Below are 20125 nucleotides of genomic sequence, written 5' to 3' on the forward strand. Positions count from 1 at the left end.
GGAGTTTATTGTACAGATTATTTCATCACTCAGGTATTAAGCCTAATACCCATTAGTTATTTTTCCTGATCCTCTCCCTCCTCCCATCCTCCACCTCTGAAAGGCCCAAGTGTGTGCTTTTCCCCTCTGTGTTCATGTGTTCTCATCATTTAGCTCCCACTTGTAAGTGAGAACATGTGGTATTTGGTTTTCTGTTCCTGTGTTAGTTTGCTAAGGATACCGGCTTCCAGCTCCATCCATGTCCCTGCAAAGGACATAATTATGTTCTTTTTTTATTGCTACACAGTATTCCATGGTGTACATGTGCCACATTTTCTTAATCCAGTCTATCACTGATGGGCATTTAGGTTGATTTTATGTCTTTGCTATTGTGAATAGTGCTTCAATGAACATACATGTGCATGTGCCTTTATAATAGAATGATTTATATTCTATTATACCCAGTAATGGTCTTGCTGGGTCGAATAGTATTTCTATCTTTAGGTCTTTGACGAATCACTACACTGTCTCCACAATGGCTGAACTAATTTACATTCCCACCAACAGTGTATAAGTGTTTCTTTTTCTCCACGACCTCACCAGCATCTGTTATTTTTTGACTTTTTAATAATAGCCATTCTGACTGTTGTTAGATAATATCTCATTGTGGTTTTGATTTGCATTTCTCTAATCATCAGTGACATTGGGCTTGTTTTCCTATGATTGTTGGCCTCATATATGTCTTCTTTTGAAAAAGTTTCATTCAGGTCCTTCGCCCAATTCTTTATGGGGTTGTTTTACTCTTGTAAAAAAATTTTTTTAAAAATTTCTGTAAGTTTAAGGGGTACAAGTGCAGCTTTGTTACAGGAATAGTGGTAAAGCCTGGGCTTTTAGTGTAACCATCACCCAAATATTGTATATTGTACCCATTAAGTAATTTCTCATCCCTCATCCTTCTTCCACTCTCCTACATTTTCAAGTGTCCAGTGTCTATCATTCCATGCTCCATGTCCATGCATATGCATTCTTTGGCTTCCCCTTCTAAGTGAGAACATATGGTATTTGACTTTCTGTTTCTGAGTTATTTCACTGAAGATAACGGCCTTCAGTTTCATGCAAGTTACTGCAAAAGCTTAAATCGGCTGCGACGCCACCAGATATTCATGGGCTAAAGACCCCTACAGCTTTATAGAGCACCTGATGGTCAAGGAAGGTCTCAGGCAAAACTGGGTTTCCTGAAGACTAGGCCAGACTTGGTCGTCTCTCAATCAAGTGCATCAGTGTCGACCGAAAACAGCCTTCTATTAAATGTACCAATTTTTGACAATTCCTTTGGAATAGGATTACAAAAGCTACTATTGACCCTTGTTGTTGGCTTTCACAAAGGATGTCAAGAACAAAAAAATTGAGGTAATAGTAATCTCCCACTCATGGCATGTTATCATTCTTCGTGGTGGAAGTCTCTTTTATTTTATTATTTATGTTTGTATTTGTATAATTTTTTCTCTAAGAACTAAAAATAGAACTATCATTTGATCCAGCAGTCAAGTGGTGTCTACCCAAAGGAAAATAAACCATTCTATTTTATTATTTTTATTTCCCCTTTTCCCCTACCATACCGTATACACCCCAGTGGACTTAATACGTATACTTCAAGTAGCCTTCCATGTTTTATAATCATTTAATATTTACCTGCACCCTTAAAAAATATGGTGGTGCTTGCGTGTGCATGTTCTTAATTTGCATAAATAGTATTGTGCTATAAATCCCAACCTGTTTCCTACTTTTCTTCCTTCATGCTGGGTTTTGAGATTTATTCACATTTGTTCTATGTAATGTGGCATGTGGATCTCTGGTTTTCTGGCCATCTTTTATGCTCTGACTTCATTCATTGACTCAAAAACAATCAAAGGAAAGTTGTATTGTGCTTATGTAGTTTCTTTTTAGTTCTTTTCCTGATGATGTGAGAAAATACAATGTCAAGGATGCATTTTTTATTTCAACCAAAGAAAAGGAGGGAAAATTGCCATTTCTGAACACTTGCTCAACCACTTTTTTGAGCACGGGGTCAGGTATAGTATACTTATTTAATTCTTAAACCAATCCTATGAGGGAGAGAACATTATCTCCATTTTATCAGATGAGGATCCTGGGGTCATAGCCTCAGCATAAAGGCTGCATACCTCGTTTGGGCACTCAGATATTTTAGGAGGCAGAGGTAGTACTCAAACACATCTTTTATTGAGTCCATCCATAATCCTATTCCAAGTAAAATCACTCTACACAAGGCCAGTACCCACATAGGCTCACAGAAATCCTGCACTTACATGTCTTCCTTTTTCAGGGCATAGTGCAGGGACAATAGTTGTTTAGAGCGGGTGCAAAAGGAAACTCGAGGACTTCTTTCAAAAGAGCACTGCATTTCTGGACAAAGAAAAAAATACTAAAGTGAACTTGGCTCAACTAAAATTCTGGGAGATATTATCCATAAATGATGTAATTTAGTTTTTAGGGGCCCCTGATTGACATAAGAACACTGGGTTATTTCTAGAATGAGTGTTGTGTCTGGCCTGTCTTCATTCTCCTGCAGAATTTCTTCTTTTTCTTCACCATCTTTAAGATGTACTATTGTTGCCCAGAGCTCCTCAATTTTTTTTCTGACAATTGTGGAAGGTAGAATAACGTACCCCCCCACAAAGATGTCCACATCTTAATCCCAAGAACTTGTGAATATGTTGCATTACATGGCAAAGAGGAATTAGGATTGCAGATGGAATTAAGATTGCTAATCAGCTGACCTTAAAATAGGGAGATTATCCTGGATAAGCCACCTGGGCCTAATGTAATCACATAGTCACAAGGGTGAGTGAGGCTTGTGTTGAATTTCCAACCCACATAACTATAAAATAATATATTTGTGTTGTTTTTTAGCCACTAAGTCTGCGGTTAGTTGTTATGGCAGCCACAGAAAATTAATACAATAATAACGTTAAGACAGGTTTAGTATCCCATATCTAAAATGCTTGACACCAGAAGTATTTCAGACTCTGGAATTTTCTTTTTTGATTTTTGAATATTTGCATTAGATTTAACAGTGTCGGCATCTCTAATCCAAAAATTCGTAATCCAAAATGCTCCAATGAGCATCTCCTTTGAGCACCATATTCACGCTCCAAAAGTGTGAGATTTTGGAACACCTCAAATTTTGGATTTTTTTGATTACAGAGGCTCAACCTATATTTCTCACATACTTTTACATGTCAGCAGTTTTGTGCTAAGCATCTCACATGAGGCATGTACTATTATCGCCCTTAATGTACGGGTGAGGAATCTGAGAGGTACCCTGGTTGAGTAATTTGCCTAAGAACAGCTGGCAATTTGTCGAGCTGATGCCTGGTGCCTGACTCTGTAACCAATCAAGCAGCAGCCATTCAGTCTCCACAGTCCCACTTAACCAACCACAGACAGAGACTGAATGGCTGCTGCTTGATGGGATTCTGAATTATGTTAGAGACAATCTGATTGGTCCTGTTTGAATCATTGTGATCAGCTCTAGTCTAATCAGACTATGCTCAGGGAAGTGGGATCCTGTAGGACAATCATGGAGGTCCGATCTGCATTTGTAGATTGAAGGGGCCCGAGAAGAGGAAGATTCACGGAACAACTTGTCTTTTTACCAAAAGCTGCCTGTTACAGAGTTCCCTCATTTGTATACTTTGTGGCCTCACCAGCTTGTTTTCTCTTTGCACTCTCCATTTGCCTCGGACTAACATCCCCCTTTGCCAGAGTGGGTAGGTTAGTGGCCCACAGAGTCATTTCCAAACACTGTTCCCTCATGCACACACCCACTCTTGACATTTGTTCTTTGAAATTACCAAGCCAGTGTGTCTGTTCTGTTCTCTAGCCTGGTAAGGGGCTCTTTGTAACCAAGGAAATAGATCTGCTTTTGAACCAAAGAGATAGACAAGAGGCATATAATTCCCATCTAGGATCTTTATATAGCAAATATCAACTCCCTTTGTTCTCTTAATTCCCACCAGCAAAATGCCAGTGAGGTTTGCAAGGCAGCATCGGTTTAGATTTTCCTGTTGACTGATATTCAGTAGGTCTTAACCACCCGCAGTGTTAACACATAGTGACTTGCATGGACGAGGGGGTCTCATAGAGGCAGCTCTGGGTTCTTCAGAAAATATTAAAAACTTGCCTAAAGAATGAGAGCGGTTGAAGTGATAGGGGACAGACTCTAGAGATGCGTATGTGACTTTGCTGATTAAGCACCAGCTCTCTGGAGGTCAAGTGCCAGGTTCCTGAGAACACTGGAATACAAAGAGAAGGAGGAGGTACTGGGAGCTCTAATACCACACAGAGCCACTGCTGCACTCACTGATCCACTGGCAGTTGTAGCATTTCTGTTGCAACAAGTGCCCTTTGAGTTAGCATGATTAGATGTTTTCAATTCCAAGTTGCACATCTTTCCACATTTTACCATTACTGAAAGCATGAAACAACTGACAGTTGATGGGTACACTTATTTTTGTGTTTTTCTTCTAGAAAGGTGCTATTAAATCAGTGATGTGTCTTACAAATATGGCATCTTAGAATCATGAAGGTGTAGTAATAAATTTCATGTAGGGATGGTTACTTTTGTTTAGATGAACAGAAAAAGGAGCTGATTTTCATCTGGTCTGGAAGGGAGGAACTAGGTTAAATAAGCAAAAAGACCAAGGTCTTTAGAAGATATGTAGAAGTTAGGAGGCCCATTATTTTTACCAGAGTTCTCTGAAAGGCCCCTGTGATGGTTAATTTTAGGTCTCAACTTGACTGGATTAAGGGATACCCAAATAGCTGCTAAGGTATTATTTCTGGGTGTGTCTGTGAGTGTGTTTTGGGAAGAGGTTGGCATTTGAATGAGTGGACTGAATAAGGAAGCCCTGCCCTTGACATGGGGGGCTCCATCCAATCAGCTGAGGATCTGAATAGAGCAAGAAGGCAAAGCAAGAGTGAATTTGTTTTCTGTCTCTTCTAGAGCTGGAACACCCTTCTTCTCCTGCCTTTGGACATCAGAACTTCAGATTCTCTGGCCTTCAGACTTCAAGACTTGCACTAGTGGCCCCCTGGGTTCTCAAGGTTTTGGCCGCCTCGGTTGAGAGTTACACCATCGGCTTCTTTGGTTCTGAGGCCGTTGGAGTTGGACTGAGCCATGCTACCAGCTTCCCTGGGTCTCCAGCCTGCAGATTGCCTACTGTGAGATTTAGCCTCCATAATCACGTGAGCCAATTCTCTTAACAAATCACTTCTCATATCTTTCTCCTTCTACATATCTTATTGGCTTTGTCTCTGTGGAGAACCCTGATTAATACAGCTTCTAAACTGATAAATGCTCACTTATACCCATTGAGTTGAGATTGCTTCCTGTCTAGCCTCAAGGCTCTGTCCTCTGAAAGCCACGCTTGGGATCTTCAGGTGAGTGCCTCTGTATACCAATTGCAGACATGACTTTGCAGAAGTGGGTTCTTTCCAGTTGTGCCTTTTTGCCTCAGAGGCCCAAGTTCCTCCAAGATGACCCTAAGCTGCTTTTTTCAAAGTATTTTTGCAAAGAAAGAGTGAGGAAAAAACTGAGCCCTGGGGTATTAATTCTGAATGGCTTGTTGAATGGCTGGCTTTAAGATTTGCTCCTTATTACACAGAAACCCTCTTTATTCTTCAAAAGAGGCTTTGGCAAAGTCAGAGTAAGTAGGACTTAATCTTACAATACAACCTGGCTGTTCCAGGGAACATGAAGCCCGCAATATTTTCTACCGACAGTACTTCCTAGAAAAAGCTTGCAGGTTTTCCCGAACAGTAAATATGGCTACCATCTATTGGGCACTGATGTGCAGGCACTGGGCTAAATTCTTTATGTGAATATATTTTTATATGAATTGTCTCAATTTTCAAAACAATCCCCATCATACTGGTGAGGAAGCTGAGAAACAGATACCTTTCTCAGAATCACACAGCAAAAAGTGGCAGAGCCAAGACTCAAACCCAAATCCCTGTCACATCAAAGCCCAGTCTCCTAGTCCCTTACCTACACTGCCTGTCACGAACCGCTTGTTCTTCTCTGACCCAAAGGCCCCCAGACAGACGACGTTAAAGCTACCAGGGCAAGCAAATGGCAGCTGCTCCCAGGTAAACATACTCCTCCGTATAACATGGTTTTCTAACCTTCAGTTCACTGACTGGTGGGTGGCAGGAAAGGCAGAGGAGATAGAAGACAAGTACAACACACTATGAATAGCAGAAGGATGAACTGAGGACTGTCAACGTGCAAAGGAGGTTGAACATGCAAAGGAAGGAAGCCAGGACAGTTGTAAGGGCATCTCCAGGTCCCATTTCCCCACCCCACCCCTGCCATCCTCCTCCCAGGCTGTGATGAATCCAAGGAGGATAAATCAACACTTGCCCAGGTTACTGTTTATTTCCTTAGAACTAGGGAAAACTGCATCTCCCCTTCTTTCACTTGGAAAAATCACTGTGTTAGAATAATTATGAATCATCCTTTGATCTGTCTCTATATCTGCAAAGCATAAATAGCGTTCAGCTGTTGAGGTCTGATTGCTCGATATTTCAGGTTTATATTTTGAATAACACAAGGATTGGTTGCTAACACCAGTAAATAATTTACTCTAGTCTGAAATATGAGCTCCAGGCAAGAAACATGAGATCAAACACGGGGAACTGTAGTATGATAGCAAACATACTGCTATCCTGTGAAGGGTTTTTCTAAATTCACTGCTGGAAGACAGAGGGAGAAATGACAACAGGTGGAGCATCAGCCAAGGTCCTTCTGGCTCCTGCCCGAATAGAATGGCTTTCCTGACATCAAAGGATGCTGGAGAGATGAATATCAATTTGAGCATGGAGAGAGGATGTGATAGCTGAAGGAGGGCTTCTTCAGCTTCTAACACCAAAACATTCCTCCCTCCACTCCAAGCCCTTGGTCATGCCAAGCTCAGTAGCAATGCCAACTTCTTATATCTCCTTTAAAAAAATCATTCTGAGCCACAGGAGGGCAGAATATTGGGAGAACAGAGTGCATGGTCTGATTTCTTTGACTTCATAAAATCTGGAGCAGAAATAAAAATTAGCAAAAACAGTTTCTTTTGATATGAGAGTTTATTTGATGCTTTTGTTATGACATTAAATGAAAAGGCAGGGTTTCAAATGCAGCTGCAGTATGATCACAATGAAGTTCAAGTCAACAGCAAAATTTCTGGGGTGAGCAAAACCAACAATAAATGCATTAATGCATTATCAGTGGTTGCCGTAGGGAGATGGGAGCGTAGCTATATCCAGCACCTCCTTGTTACAATATAAGCAGGATCCCAGTGGAAATGTAAGGGCTCCTGTGTTGTCCTTAAGATTGTTCTGGAAAGTAACAGTATTTTCATGCGCGTCCGTGTGAAGAGACCACCAAACAGGCTTTGTGTGAGCAACATGGCTGTTTATTTCACCTGGGCGCAGGCGGGCTGAGTCCGGAAAGAGAGTCAGCGAAGGGAGATAAGGGGGGGGGGGGGCGGGGCGTTTTATAGGATTTGGGTAGGTAAAGGAAAATTACAGTCAAAGGGGGTTTGTTCTCTGGCGGGCAGGAGTGGGGGTCACAAGGTGCTCAGTGGGGGAGCTTTTTGAGCCAGGATGAGCCAGGAAAAGGACTTTCACAAGGTAATGTCATCAGTTAAGGCAAGGACCGGCCATTTACACTTCTTTTGTGGTGGAATGTCATCAGTTAAGGTGGGGCAGGGCATATTCACTTCTTTTGTGATTCTTTAGTTACTCCAGGCCATCTGGGCGTATATGAGCCTTGGGCTCAGAGGCCTGACATTCCTGCCTTCTTAGTATGAAAAATAAAACAAAATAGTGTTGAAGTGTTGGGGCGGCGAAAATTTTTGGTGGGTGGTATGGAGAGAGAATGGACGATGTTTCTCAGGGCTGCTTCAAGCGGGATTGGGGGCGGTGTGGGAACCTAGAGTGGGAGAGATTAAGCTGAAAGGAGATCTTGTGGTAAGGGGTGATATTGTGGGGATGTTAGAAGAAACAGTTGTTGTATAGAATGATTGGTGATGGCCTGGATACGGTTTTGTATGAACTGAAAAACTAAATGGAATAAGAAGGAGAAAAACAGGTATAAAAGGTCTAAGAATTGGGACGACTCAGGATATCTGATTAGAGAGTGCCTAAGGAGATTCAGCATAGTCCTGCCAGCAAAGATCATTTATTTACTTCAAGAGTTAAGCGTGGCAGTTTGGGGATAGCACCAGGAGATATCAGCTGTGATGGCTTGGAAAAATAGTGTAAACCTGCAGTGTAAACAAGAGCAGGGCATGTGTGAGTAGTTGAGATCGGTAAATAGGAGTATGATTAGACAGAAGATAGTAGGGATGACAAGTTTTTTGGGGCACAGTCTAAGTTGGTCTGGTGTCTGGAATGAGACTGGGGCCTAATAACAAGGAGCGTCTATACAGGAGCTTAAATGGGCTGTACCCTGTAGCATTCTGAATACAGGCCTGAATTCTGAGAAGGGAAAGTGGTAAAAGTATTGTCCAGTCCTTTTTAAGTTGGTGGCTGAGCTTGGTGAGGTGTGTTTTTAAAAGACCTTTAGTCCATTCTACTTTTCGTGAAGACGGAGGACCGTAAGGGATATAAAGGTTTCACTGAATACTAAGAGCCTGAAAAACTGCTTGGCTGATTTGACTAATAAAGGCTCATCTGTTATGAGACTGTATTGAGATGGGAAGGCTAAACTGAGGAATTATGTCTGACAGAAGGGAAGAAATGACTGCGGTGGCCTTCTCACACCCTGTAGGAAAGGCCTCTACCTATCCAGTGAAAGTATCTACCTAGACAAAGAGGTATTTTAGTTATCTGACTCAGGGCATGTTGAGTAAAGCTAATTTGCCAGTCCTGGGTGGGGCAAATCCTCGAGCTTGATGTGTAGGGAAGGGAGGGGGCCTGAAGAATCCCTGAGGAGTAGTAGAATAGCAGATGGAACACTGAGAAGTTATTTCCTTCAGGATAGATTTCCACGATGGAAAGGAAATGAGAGGTTCTAAGAGGCAGGCTAGTGGCTTGTACTATAGTATAACCTGCCTTTGCTGGTGTGTGGCAATTAGGCCTGGTGGAACCGCCATCAATAAATCAAGCGTGATCAGGGTGAGGAACAGGAAAGAAGGAAATTTGGGGAAATGGGGTGAATGTCAGGTGGATCAGAGAGATACAGTCATGGGGGTCAGGTGTGGTATCAGGAATAATGTGGGATTGAAGTCTGGGCCAGGAACAACGGTAATTGTGGGAGACTCAACAAAGAGTGAGTACAGCTGAAGGAGCCAGGGAGCAGAAAGTATATGCATCAGGTATGAGAACGAAAATAGATTTTGGAAGTTATGAGAACTGTAGAGAGTGAGTTGAGCATAGTTTGTGATTTTGAGGGCCTCTAAAAGTATTAAAGCAGCGGCAGCCGCTGCACGCACACATGAGGGCTAGGCTAAAACAGTAAGGTCAAGTTGTTTGGACAGAAAGGCTACAGGGTGTGGTCCTGGCTCTTGTGTAAGAATTCTGACTGCGCTAACCATGCCTAGGAAGAAAAGGAGTTGTTTTGTAGAAGGTGCTGGGGTTTGAGATCAGTTGGACACGATTGGCAGGGAGAGCACGTGTGTTTTTATGAGAATTATGGCGAGATAGGTAACAGTTGAGGAAAAAATTTGGGCTTGATTGAAGTAATGGGGGCTGTCTGTGAAGCTTTGCGGCAGTACAGCCCAGGTAATTTGCTGAGCTTGATGGGTGTCAGGGTCAGTCCAAGTGAAAGCGAAGAGAGGCTGGGATTAAGGGTGCAAAGGAATAGTAAAGAAAGCATGTTTGAGATCTAGAACAGAATAATGGGTTGTAGAGGCAGGTATTGATGATAGGAGAGTATACGGGTTTGGCACCACGGGGTGGATAGGCAAAACAATTTGGTTGATAAGGCACAGATACTGAACTAACTTGTAAGGCTTGTCTGGTTTTAGGACAGGTAAAATGGGGGAATTGTAAGGAGAGTTTATAGGCTTTAAAAGGCCATGCTGTAGCAGGCAAGTAATAACAGGCTTTAATCTTTTTAAAGTGTGCTGTGGGATGGGATATTGGCGTTGAGTGGGGTAAGGGTGATTAGATTTTAATGAGATGGTAAGGGGTGCATGATTGGTCACCAAGGAGGGAGTAGAGGTATCTTATACTTGTGGGTTAAGGTGGGGGGATACAAGAGGAGGACGCAAAGGAGGCTTTGGATTGGGAAGAAGGGCGGCAATGAGATATAGCTGTAGCCCAGGAATAGTCAGGGAAGCAGATAATTTAGTTAAAGTGTCTCAGCCTAATAAGGGAACTGGGCAGGTGGGGATAACTGAAAAGGAGTGCTTAAAAGAGTATTGTCTAAGTTGGCACCAGAGTTGGGGAGTTTTAAGAGGTTTAGAAGCCTGGCCATCAATACCCACAACAGTTATGGAGGCAAGGGAAACAGGCCCTTGAAAAGAAGGTAATGTGGAGTGGGTAGCCTCCGTATTGATTAAGAAAGGGACGGGCTTACCTTCCACTGTGAGAGTTACCTGAAGCTCGATGTCCGTGATGGTCTAGGGGGCTTCCGAGGCGATCGGGCAGTGTCAGTCTTCAGCCGCTAAGCCGAGAAGATCTGGGAAGGAGTCAGTCAGAAAGCCTTGGGCCAGAGTTCCAGGGGCTCCGGGAGTGGCTGCCAGGTGAGTTGAACAGTCCGATTTTCAGTGGGGTCCCACAGAGATGGGACGTGGCTTAGGAGGAATCCCAGGCTGCGGGCATTCCTTGGCCCAGTGGCCAGATTTCTGGCACGTGTAGCAAGCTCCTGTGGGAGGAGGTTCTGGAGGAACACCTGGCCACTGCGGTTCAGGCGTTTGGAAGTTCTTGTGTGCTGGAGATGTGGCTGGGGTTTGTCTCACAGTGGAGGCAAGGAATTGCAACTTTTTTCTATTATTGTACACCTGAAGGTGAGGTTAATTAAATCCTGTTGTGGGGTTTGAGGGCCGGAATTTAATTTTTGGAGTTTTATTTAATGTCGGGAGCAGATTGGGTAATAAAATGTATTTTGAGAATAAGACGGCCTTTTGCCTTTTAGGGTCTAGGGCTGTAAAGTGTCTCACGGTTGCTGCCAAACAAGTCATGAACTGGGCTGGATTTTTATATTTGATGAAAAAGAGCCTAAACGCTTCTGATTTGGGATAAAGAAAAAGGAGCATTAACCTTGACTGTGCCTTTAGCTCCAGCCACCTTTTTAAGAGTAAATTGCTGGGCAGGAGGGGGAGGGCTAGTCACGGAACGAAACGGTAAGCCAGACCAGGTGTGAGGAGGGGAGGTGATAAAAAGATTATAGGGTGGAGGAGCAGAGGCTGAGGAAGGATTGGGACCTAGCTCGGCCTGGTGAGGAGCAGCCTGGGGAGGAAGGGAGGGGTCAGATGGGTCTGTAGAAAAGGAAGATTAGAAAGACTCAGCGACGCTTGGGGTTGGTTCTGAGGGGACAGGTGGGAGGGTAAGAAGGAAGATTTGGGACAAGTTGCACTGGGCACAGAGACTAGGAAGGGACTGATGTGTAAAAGAATGCCTGGACGTCAGGCACCTCAGACCGTTTGCCTATTTTACGACAAGAATTATTTAGATTTTGCAGGATGGAAAAATTCAAAGTGCCATTTTCTGGCTATTTGGAACTACCGTCGAGTTTGTATTGGGGTCAAACGGCATTGCAGAAGAAAAGGCATTTAGGTTTTAGGTCAGGTGTGAGTTGAAGAGGTTTTAAGTTTTTGAGAACACAGGCTAAGGGAGAAGAAGGAGGAATGGAAGGTGGAAGCTTACCTATAGTGAAGGAGGCAAACCCACAGAAAACAGTAGAGACACGGAGAAGGGGTGGAGGGTTCTTGCCCTCCAGAAAAGCAGAGAAGGGGTTGGGGCACGGAAATAAGGGATTGGGGCACAGAGATAAGAGGCTGGGGTGCGGAAATAAGCGACTGGGGGGTTCTTGCCCCCTAGGAAAGCGGGACTTGCCGCTAAGGGTGAAGTCCGTGACCGGCGCCGGAGTTTTGGGTTCACGGATAAAACATGTCTCTTTTGTCTCTACTAGAAAATGAAAGGAATTGAAATTAAGAGAAGGGAGAGATTGAAGTGTGGCGCTAAGATTGAAAGGAGAAAGAGGTTGAGGGATAGTGAGGGAGGTTGGAGAAGAGAGTAAAAAGAGGCCGCTTACCGGATTTGAAATTGGTGAGATGTTTCTTGGGCTGGTGGGTCTGAGGACTTGAGGTCGTAGGTGGATCTTTGTCACGGAGCAAAGAGCAGGAGGACAGGGGATTGGTCTCCTAAGGGAGGTCCCCCGATCCGAGTCACAGCACCAAATTTCATGCGCGTCCGTGTGAAGAGACCACCAAACAGGCTTTGTGTGAGCAACATGGCTGTTTATTTCACCTGGGTGCAGGCGGGCTGAGTCCAAAAAGAGAGTCAGCGAAGGGACATAGGGTGGGGCCGTTTTATAGGATTTGGATAGGTAAAGGAAAATTACAGTCAAAGGGGGTTTGTTCTCTGGCGGGTAGGAGTGGGGGTCGCAAGGTGCTCAGTGGGCAGGAGTGGGGGTCGCAAGGTGCTCAGTGGGGGTGCTTTTTGAGCCAGGATGAGCCAGGAAAAGGACTTTCACAAGGTAATGTCATCAGTTAAGGCAATGACCGGCCATTTACACTTCTTTTGTGGTGGAATGTCATCAGTTAAGGTGGGGCAGGGCATATTCACTTCTTTTGTGATTCTTTAGTTACTTCAGGCCATCTGGGCGATATATATACGTGCAGGTCACAGGGGATGTGATGGCTTGGCTTGGGCTTAGAGGCCTGACAGTATGCCTCTGTGATGGGTACGGCCTCCCTTGAAAAGAGAGAATCTTCCTTCATCCAGCAAGTTTTAGCAAGTGGAAAGGGTAGCAATTGGCCCTCACTACTAGCTATGATTGGTAGTGACTATCTGGGATACTGGGGTGAGAAGGATTCTGAAATCAATGGACTAAAAGACCTGATTGATTAGTGATGTCTACCTGGGAGCATGAGGTGCTATATTTGACATCTGGGTTTTGAGTGAGATACCTGTATTCAAATCCTGGTTTTAAAAGCTTGGGATTTTGGACTTTAAAAAGTCTCTCTTCTAATGCTGTCCCTCCCTTTGTCCCCCACCCCCCAACAGGCTGTGCTGTGTGATGTTCCCTTCGCTGTGTCCACGTGTTCTCTCTCATTTTCTTAGATCAGCTACCTAATCTGTTACCAACCTAAGGGGATTACATAAAATATTCCGTGAGGATGTTGCTGGCATAAGTAGATGCTAATACAATTCCTCTATCTCTTCCCATTTCCTTCCCTTTCCTTTACATTCTTCAGGACCCAAAAACCGTAAGAGAGTATTCTCTTTTCAGAATTTTCACCAATACATTCAGCATAATTGTAAGTGCTTCAACCAACCAGTGAAAGGCCTCCAGATAGAGAAAGATGGGAACCCCTCTCTGCCTTATACCTGACCAACATAAGACTGTTGACAGTTATGAGTTCCAGACATCAACAGCAGCTGTAATAACCTTTCTCTTGGCTGTTTTCAGCAGAGCCATAAAAAGATGAACATGATATGATTGACAGGCCTAGAAGACAGGGTGTTTTTAGGACCAAATAGTGTTAGAAGGACCTGCTGGAATGAGGAATACAGGAAAAGACCTCAATACACTGTGTATGGTACTGAACTTAGCAGATTACTGATGGAATTTTTGGAATACCTCCTCAGAGGCATGAAGCCTAGAACTTTAATAGCTCTGTATTCCTGAAGGTAAAGAATTTCTTGATTAGGATGAGAAATGCAATTCCCATCCGTTGGACTTCAACTGAAGAAGAATGTCCAGTTTTAGATTCTCCAGAAGAATGTCCAGTTTTAGATCCTAGTCTGCAAAACAATAAATCTTCAAAATTCCAATAATTAGTACTGAGGAGAATCAACTTGTTAATACTGTTGCCATTTTCACTGTAATATTTTTTGGGGGGAGGTCAAGGCGGGGTGGATCATTTGAGGTCAGGAGTTCAAAACCAGCTTGGCTATCATGGTGAAACCCTGTCTCTACTAAAAATACTAAAAAAATAGCTGGGTGTGGTGGTGGGCACCTGTAATCCCAGGTACCCGGGAGGCTGAGGCAGGAGAATTGCTTCAGCCTGGGAGGCAGAGGTTGCAGAGAGCAGAGATCATGCCATGGCATTCCTGCCTAGGTGACAGAGTGAGACTCCATCTCAGAAAAATAAATAAATAGCAATAATAATTTTTATTTTATTTATTTATTTTTTGCTCAGAACTGGCAGCATGGTAGGTGGGAAAGTTGTGTAAGTTTAGAATTCTATCCAATATGGGTGAAAACTCCAATTTATCACCATACTTTTACCTCTCTGAGACTCAGGTTCTCATATGTCAAATACCACTAGAGGTATTTATACATTTAAGGATTTTTGTAAGATCTGAAGTTTATGGGTCACTTCTTTTTTCTAGCAGATGCGGTTGGTGCCAGTGTCACTTTCCTTGTGTGAAGCAGGTTCACTGTGCACGGGTTACCAACTTGCCTGAGTGTGGTGACACAGAACACCCACACACATCAAGTTAGATAAAGTGAATTCATTATTTGCAGATAGGCAGCAAAGGATGCTAGAAGCCTAGGATTCATGTTGAGCTGGTCCCCCAAGACTCAAGAAAGCTGCCCAGGGTGGATAGAGTTTCATCTGTGCATGCCCCACTTGCATCACAGCTGAGGGACTATGGAAAGCCGTCCACCTGAGTTCTGTACCTTGGGGAACTTGACTTGCTGGGCTAAAGCGTGGAAGGACATCCGGTTCTGGGGACTGGAACAGAGCCTGGGCTGTTACATCCAGTTCCTCTCTATCTCAGGATGTTGCATTCTTTGCATATTCTACAGTTACTTAAGAGAACTACAAGTGAGAAAGAGGGAGAAATGAGTTAGTGCAAGACCACTCAGAGAACTGTCCTGCACCCTCAGCTCACCTCTAAATTTTGCTGCAGCTGATGCTCACTGACGGTGTCCCACTTCAGTTCCCCACTGTGTTTCTCCACTTTCCTGTCTCAGGGCTTGATATGGTTTGGCTATGTCACCACCCAAATCTCATCTTGAATTGTAGTTCTCATAATCCCTACAGATACTGGGAGGGACCCAGTGGGAGGCAATTGAATCATGGGGGCGGTTTCCCCCATGCTCTTCTCATGATAGTAAGTTCTCATGAGATCTGATGTTTTTATAATGGGCTTCCCCCTTCACTTGGCTCTCGTTCTTCTTCCTGCCACCATGCAAAGAAGGATGTGTTTGCTTCCCCTTCCGCCATGATTGAGGTCTCCCTAGCCATGCTGAATTGTCAGTCAATTAAACCTCTTTCCTTTATAAATTACCCAGTCTCGGGTATGTCTTTATTAGCAGTGTGAGAACAGACTAATACAGGGCTTTTATCAAAATGGTGGCAGCTCAGTCAAGCCTCGCATAGGTGGAGCCGAGGAGCTTAGGGAATTTACACCAACAGGACAACCTGCAACCAGTGGGTGATGGGAGTCAGTGGATAAATGCTTCAGCCTCCCGGCCTTCTCAGGGAATATTCTGAGGTGCATTCTACACAGTTCCTCAGAGGGCTCCTGGTAAGATGATCTCTGGTTGCCCATAGTAGTAACAAGCTCCATAATGTCCCCTTCACCAGCTTTTCATCCTTCCCCTTCTCACTTGCTCTACTCCTCATTCCAACTTTTGGAGATAACCTCTCAAATAAAATACCTGCACCAAACTCCTTGTCTTAGGTTCTCTTTTGGAGAGATTCAAATAGACACTCAAGCTCTGTTAAATATTCTTCACCTTTCTAGTACTCACACTTTTTCCTTCATTTCCCATACTCATGGATGATTTAATTTCTTCCTCAAGATTAAGAAGGTACACCATCTTCTTTTCTTCTCTATCTCTCTGTCCATCTTTCTCTTCCTTTTATTTTTAGGGGAATGGGGTTGCTCGCTCTCTAGAGCTAACGCTTTTATTTTGTCTTGAATAAACCTGGTTCTCCATCAGCGTCATCCATTTCAATTAATGACACCACCATCCTTTCAGTTGCTTAAGCCGGAAACCTGGATGCATCCTCCTCTTATCTCCTGATCAATCACCAAATCCCAAATGTTTCTTGATTTTGTCCACTTCTTTCTCTATTAACCTTCATTGGGTATCTGCTGTGTGCTGAGCATTTTATGAGCTTTACAAGCTTCATCTCATTTATATCCCTACAGAAATGATGCCTTTTATAAAATGGTACTATTTTTATCCCCATTTGTAGATGACAAAATGCAGGTGAAGAGAGGTCAAGGAACTTGCCCAAGGTTGTTTGAGTGAGTTCATGGGGACTAAAACATGAATCTTTTTCCTAATTACAGAGCTCATGTTCTTCCACTCATGTGCTGTTCCACCTGCACGTCTTCAAAGGCATTGCACCCTGATGGTTGTTCCTTCCCATGCCATCATCTCCACTCTCCTTCTCAGAGATTTTCTTCCCTTTTGCCATTATCCATGATGATGTGTTGTCTGTTTCATACAATAGGCTTAAAGAAATTATTTATTGGATGAACAAGCCTTCATATAACTAATTATTTCCACTATGTGTATTATCATTTACATTAACATGTAATTGTTCATTATCCTTTGTCATTAAAAAGAGGTAAAGAATTATGGGCTTTGGAGTCAGAGAGACCTAGAGTCAAACCCCGTTGCCATCACACACTAGTTATGTGACCTTGAGTGATTCACTTAACATTTCCAGGCCTTCGTTTTCTCACCTGCAAAATATAGATTAAAAATAGCTCCTGGCTGGCTGCAGTGGCTCATGCCTATAATCCCAGCACTTTGGGAGACCAAGGCAGGCAGATTGCTTAAGCTCAGGAATTTAAGATCAGCCTGGGCAACATAGCAAGACCTTGTCTCTACTAAGAACGACAGCCAAAAAAAAAAAAAAAGCAAAACCAAACAACAACAACAGCAACAACAAAAAAAACCCCACAAAAAACAAAAACCAGCCCAGCGTGGTGGTGTGCTTCTGTAGTCCCAGCCACTTGGGAGGTTGAGGATGACTCGAGCCCAGGGGATCGAGGCTGCAGTGAGCAGTGATTGTGCCACTGCACTCCAGCCTGGGCAACAGAGGGAGACCCTGTCTCAGACCAAAAAAACAAAACAAAACAAACAAACAAAAAAACAAAAACGTGGTGATGGCAAAGATGGGGGAGCTGAAGAGGACAGTATTGAGAAAGATGGCATCTGAACTGGACTTTGAAGGATGAAGCAGGGAGTGGAGAAGAGGATTCTGGATGTAGTAAGACATGTGCAAGGAAGTGAAAATGCAGAAAGTTTTGGTCATCTTGGGTCTAGAGAAATTTTATGAAGCACTTCATCCCATCTTGTCCCTAAGCCTTATCCCATATCCCTGGTGGTAGTTTCCTCTCTTTCACTTCTCACATTCCTGATTTTATTTCCATTTCTTGTATTTCTTCTCTCCCAACTCCTGGAGCAAAGTCCCGTTCTTTTCATCTTCTCATACAGAGCCATTTAGCTTTCTCTTTCATTGCCTTGTTTTTTTCAAAGTCCAGGCACTGAGAATTTTCTTTAATCCCCAAGTGACTTCTCAAGGGATTCCTCTCAACAAAAACAGTTCCCACATATAAAAGGAATGCTGATGCCAACTAATAATATAATTAAGGTTTTCACATCTGCTGCACTTGTGTTAGTATTAGATTGCTATCCCTTTGGGAAGTAGAGCTATGTTTCATTGAACTCAGAAAACTAGAAAATGCTCGACCATGTGATCTACTCTCTGTAGGCACTGGGTACACAGAGATGAGAGAATGTGGATTTGGCCCTTCAAGGGACCAGAGTCTATATGGGTAAACAAGCATTGAAAACAACTATTTCAATGCTAGATCATAAGCACAACATGGAAATTTGTGTAAGGCTCAGCAAAATAACAATTTAATATCACAACTTGAAGTTGTTCATTTCATGTCTTCCCCTCTGGACTATAGTATCTTTGAAGGAAAGGTTTTTCTTGAGGAAGAACTAAGTCTCCTTCGTTTGCCGTTTTATTCCAGGTGCTTGGCACAATGACCGGCACCTAAGGCAAACCTGGTAAACATTTGTGGAATTAAAGCATGAATGATGGAAGGGATTTTTAAAAATTAGGTGGTGGTGGCAAGGATAGGGAGGTGGAGAGGATGGTATTAGGATGTCAGCAGCTGAACTGGGTTTTGCAGGATGAAACAGAAGAGTAGGGAAGTGTATTCTGGACACATGAAAAACTATGTGCAAAGAAGTGGAGGTGCAGAAGAGCTTTGAATTTGGAGAACTGTAAATGGTTTGGTAGAACTGGAACAAATGCAGGGATATGGGATCATGAAAGGTAGAGCTCCAGAGACAAGCAGGATGCAGCCTTTTCTGTATCATCTGTGCTGAACCTAGCACAGCGCTGGCTTCAGGATAAGCATGCATTGCTTGGTGGTTTTAAACTTTTGAGTTCCTTAGCATGCATGATAGACGTGCACATTTTCAAATCACGGAAGATTACTATTCAAGGTCTCTAGGGAAGAAGTAGTCGAAGAGTAGTCCAAAGACCAGAAATATCAGCATGTCCTAAGAACTTGTTATAAATGCACATTGTCAGGCCCTCCCAGACCTGCTGGATCAGAAACTCTGGGGACAGAGCCCAGCAATCTGTATTTTAACAAACTTTCCACATGATTCCAGATTTACACCCAAGTTTGAGGGTCACTGATCTGAGGGATGGAGCTAAGAAACAACGAGAAAACAAAACCAAAAAAGCCACAGATGTTTCTGATGATCTGTCCAGCTTGAGAATTTCTCTTTAAATGTATGTGTCATCTTTATTGTCATTGGCTTAGCATTGAACTGACAGATTTACTCTGCCTTTTGGAACTAGCCTGGGCTTCTCTGAAACACCTGTGCCCACTAGGTCCTTACTGAAAACATGAAATAGACCAGAATCTGGGGAAGGAGGAGAGCTAGTCTCTGATATTCACAGGCTCCAAGAAGGAAGGAAAAGCAATTGTCTCTGCTGAAGACGTTGAATCATAGGCAAGAGATGCCCTGAGAAAATAAAGAGAAGCAAATTTAGAACAAGCAACAAGAGATATTTTTGCATTCAGCATTCACTCAACTTGCAGGATTTGGGTGGTTTATGTCTTTCAATGAATATGCAAGATGGTTCTTTTCACCCAAATATAATTAACACTATTCAGTATTTTTATTCAACACACAATATACCATATAGACAATATTAAACAGACAATGCCCAATTATAGTGAACACCAGAGAATATTTTTATTAAATAGAAAATTCAATGATAGGAGGCTTCTGCAAGATTGTTTGCTATGTCATTTATTCTTGGATCAAGCCCTGGAAGAGCCTTGATTCCCTATGTCTAAAGAAGTGCGCTCTTTGAATGGGTGGTTTCCCTGGACGATAATCACTTCTTGAATAATATGAATGACAGTTATAATAAAAGTATCTGTGTTCAGCTAATTTCCTTGATTAGAGCACATTTATTTGAGCATGTTGCTGGTAACATCCAGGCTAGGGGTTCCGTCTTTGTGTAGGCAGTAAGAACGAGAAGATGAACAATTAGGGATGAGGAAAAACAAAGGAGGAAAGTGGATAGAAACATTACAAGACCTTGCATTTCCATTGAGGAGAGCCTATGAAGCTGAGTCCAAATACCCTAGGACCTAGGGACACCACAAGTCTTCCAAAAATGATGATGGTGGTGATGATGATAATAAAAGTAATAATAATAGCTGGCAGGTATTCAGTACCTATACCTATATTGTGTTCAATGCTTTATATGTATGCATTTTCCAGACTTTCAAAACAAACTGGGGAAGGCCCTAGCATCACCTCATGGAGATTTAAACTGGGAAGGGCTAAGAAATGTCCCCAAAGGTCACATTCATAATAAGGGACTGAACCAGGCTTCAAGTCCAGGAAAGCTTGTGCTCCTTACCACTGCATTGCATTGCCTCT

At 43.0% G+C, this 20125-nt stretch overlaps 1 protein-coding gene across 4 annotated transcripts in view, besides 4 other annotated features; it reads left to right on the forward strand.

Moving 5' to 3' along the window:
• Positions 1–20125, forward strand: part of SHISA9 (shisa family member 9) — a 661420-nt gene that overhangs the window by 443577 nt on the left and 197718 nt on the right. For all 4 annotated transcript variants that reach the window (XR_932915.3, XR_007064905.1, XM_011522642.3 and 1 more), the window contains exon 4: positions 5006–5247. Coding sequence is in view for 2 of the 4 variants with exons in the window: in XM_011522642.3 (XP_011520944.1) it covers positions 5006–5247 (242 nt within the window). In the remaining 2 variants the exon portion in view is untranslated. The remainder of the gene's footprint in view (positions 1–5005; positions 5248–20125) is intronic.
• Positions 6484–7083: an enhancer, noted in NCBI's record as "OCT4-NANOG-H3K27ac hESC enhancer chr16:13445515-13446114 (GRCh37/hg19 assembly coordinates)". NCBI's record gives its function as "activates a minimal SCP1, AML or CMV promoter by ChIP-STARR-seq in primed H9 embryonic stem cells {active_cell/tissue: H9 hESC(primed)}" and the evidence as "EXISTENCE:reporter gene assay evidence [ECO:0000049][PMID:30033119]".
• Positions 7084–7683: an enhancer, noted in NCBI's record as "OCT4-NANOG-H3K27ac hESC enhancer chr16:13446115-13446714 (GRCh37/hg19 assembly coordinates)". NCBI's record gives its function as "activates a minimal SCP1, AML or CMV promoter by ChIP-STARR-seq in naive and primed H9 embryonic stem cells {active_cell/tissue: H9 hESC(naive and primed)}" and the evidence as "EXISTENCE:reporter gene assay evidence [ECO:0000049][PMID:30033119]".
• Positions 7684–8283: an enhancer, noted in NCBI's record as "OCT4-NANOG-H3K27ac hESC enhancer chr16:13446715-13447314 (GRCh37/hg19 assembly coordinates)". NCBI's record gives its function as "activates a minimal SCP1, AML or CMV promoter by ChIP-STARR-seq in naive and primed H9 embryonic stem cells {active_cell/tissue: H9 hESC(naive and primed)}" and the evidence as "EXISTENCE:reporter gene assay evidence [ECO:0000049][PMID:30033119]".
• Positions 12231–13177: an enhancer, noted in NCBI's record as "OCT4-NANOG-H3K27ac-H3K4me1 hESC enhancer chr16:13451262-13452208 (GRCh37/hg19 assembly coordinates)". NCBI's record gives its function as "activates a minimal SCP1, AML or CMV promoter by ChIP-STARR-seq in naive and primed H9 embryonic stem cells {active_cell/tissue: H9 hESC(naive and primed)}" and the evidence as "EXISTENCE:reporter gene assay evidence [ECO:0000049][PMID:30033119]".

Source organism: Homo sapiens, chromosome 16, assembly GCF_000001405.40.
Source record: "Homo sapiens chromosome 16, GRCh38.p14 Primary Assembly".
NCBI lineage: Eukaryota > Metazoa > Chordata > Mammalia > Primates > Hominidae > Homo > Homo sapiens.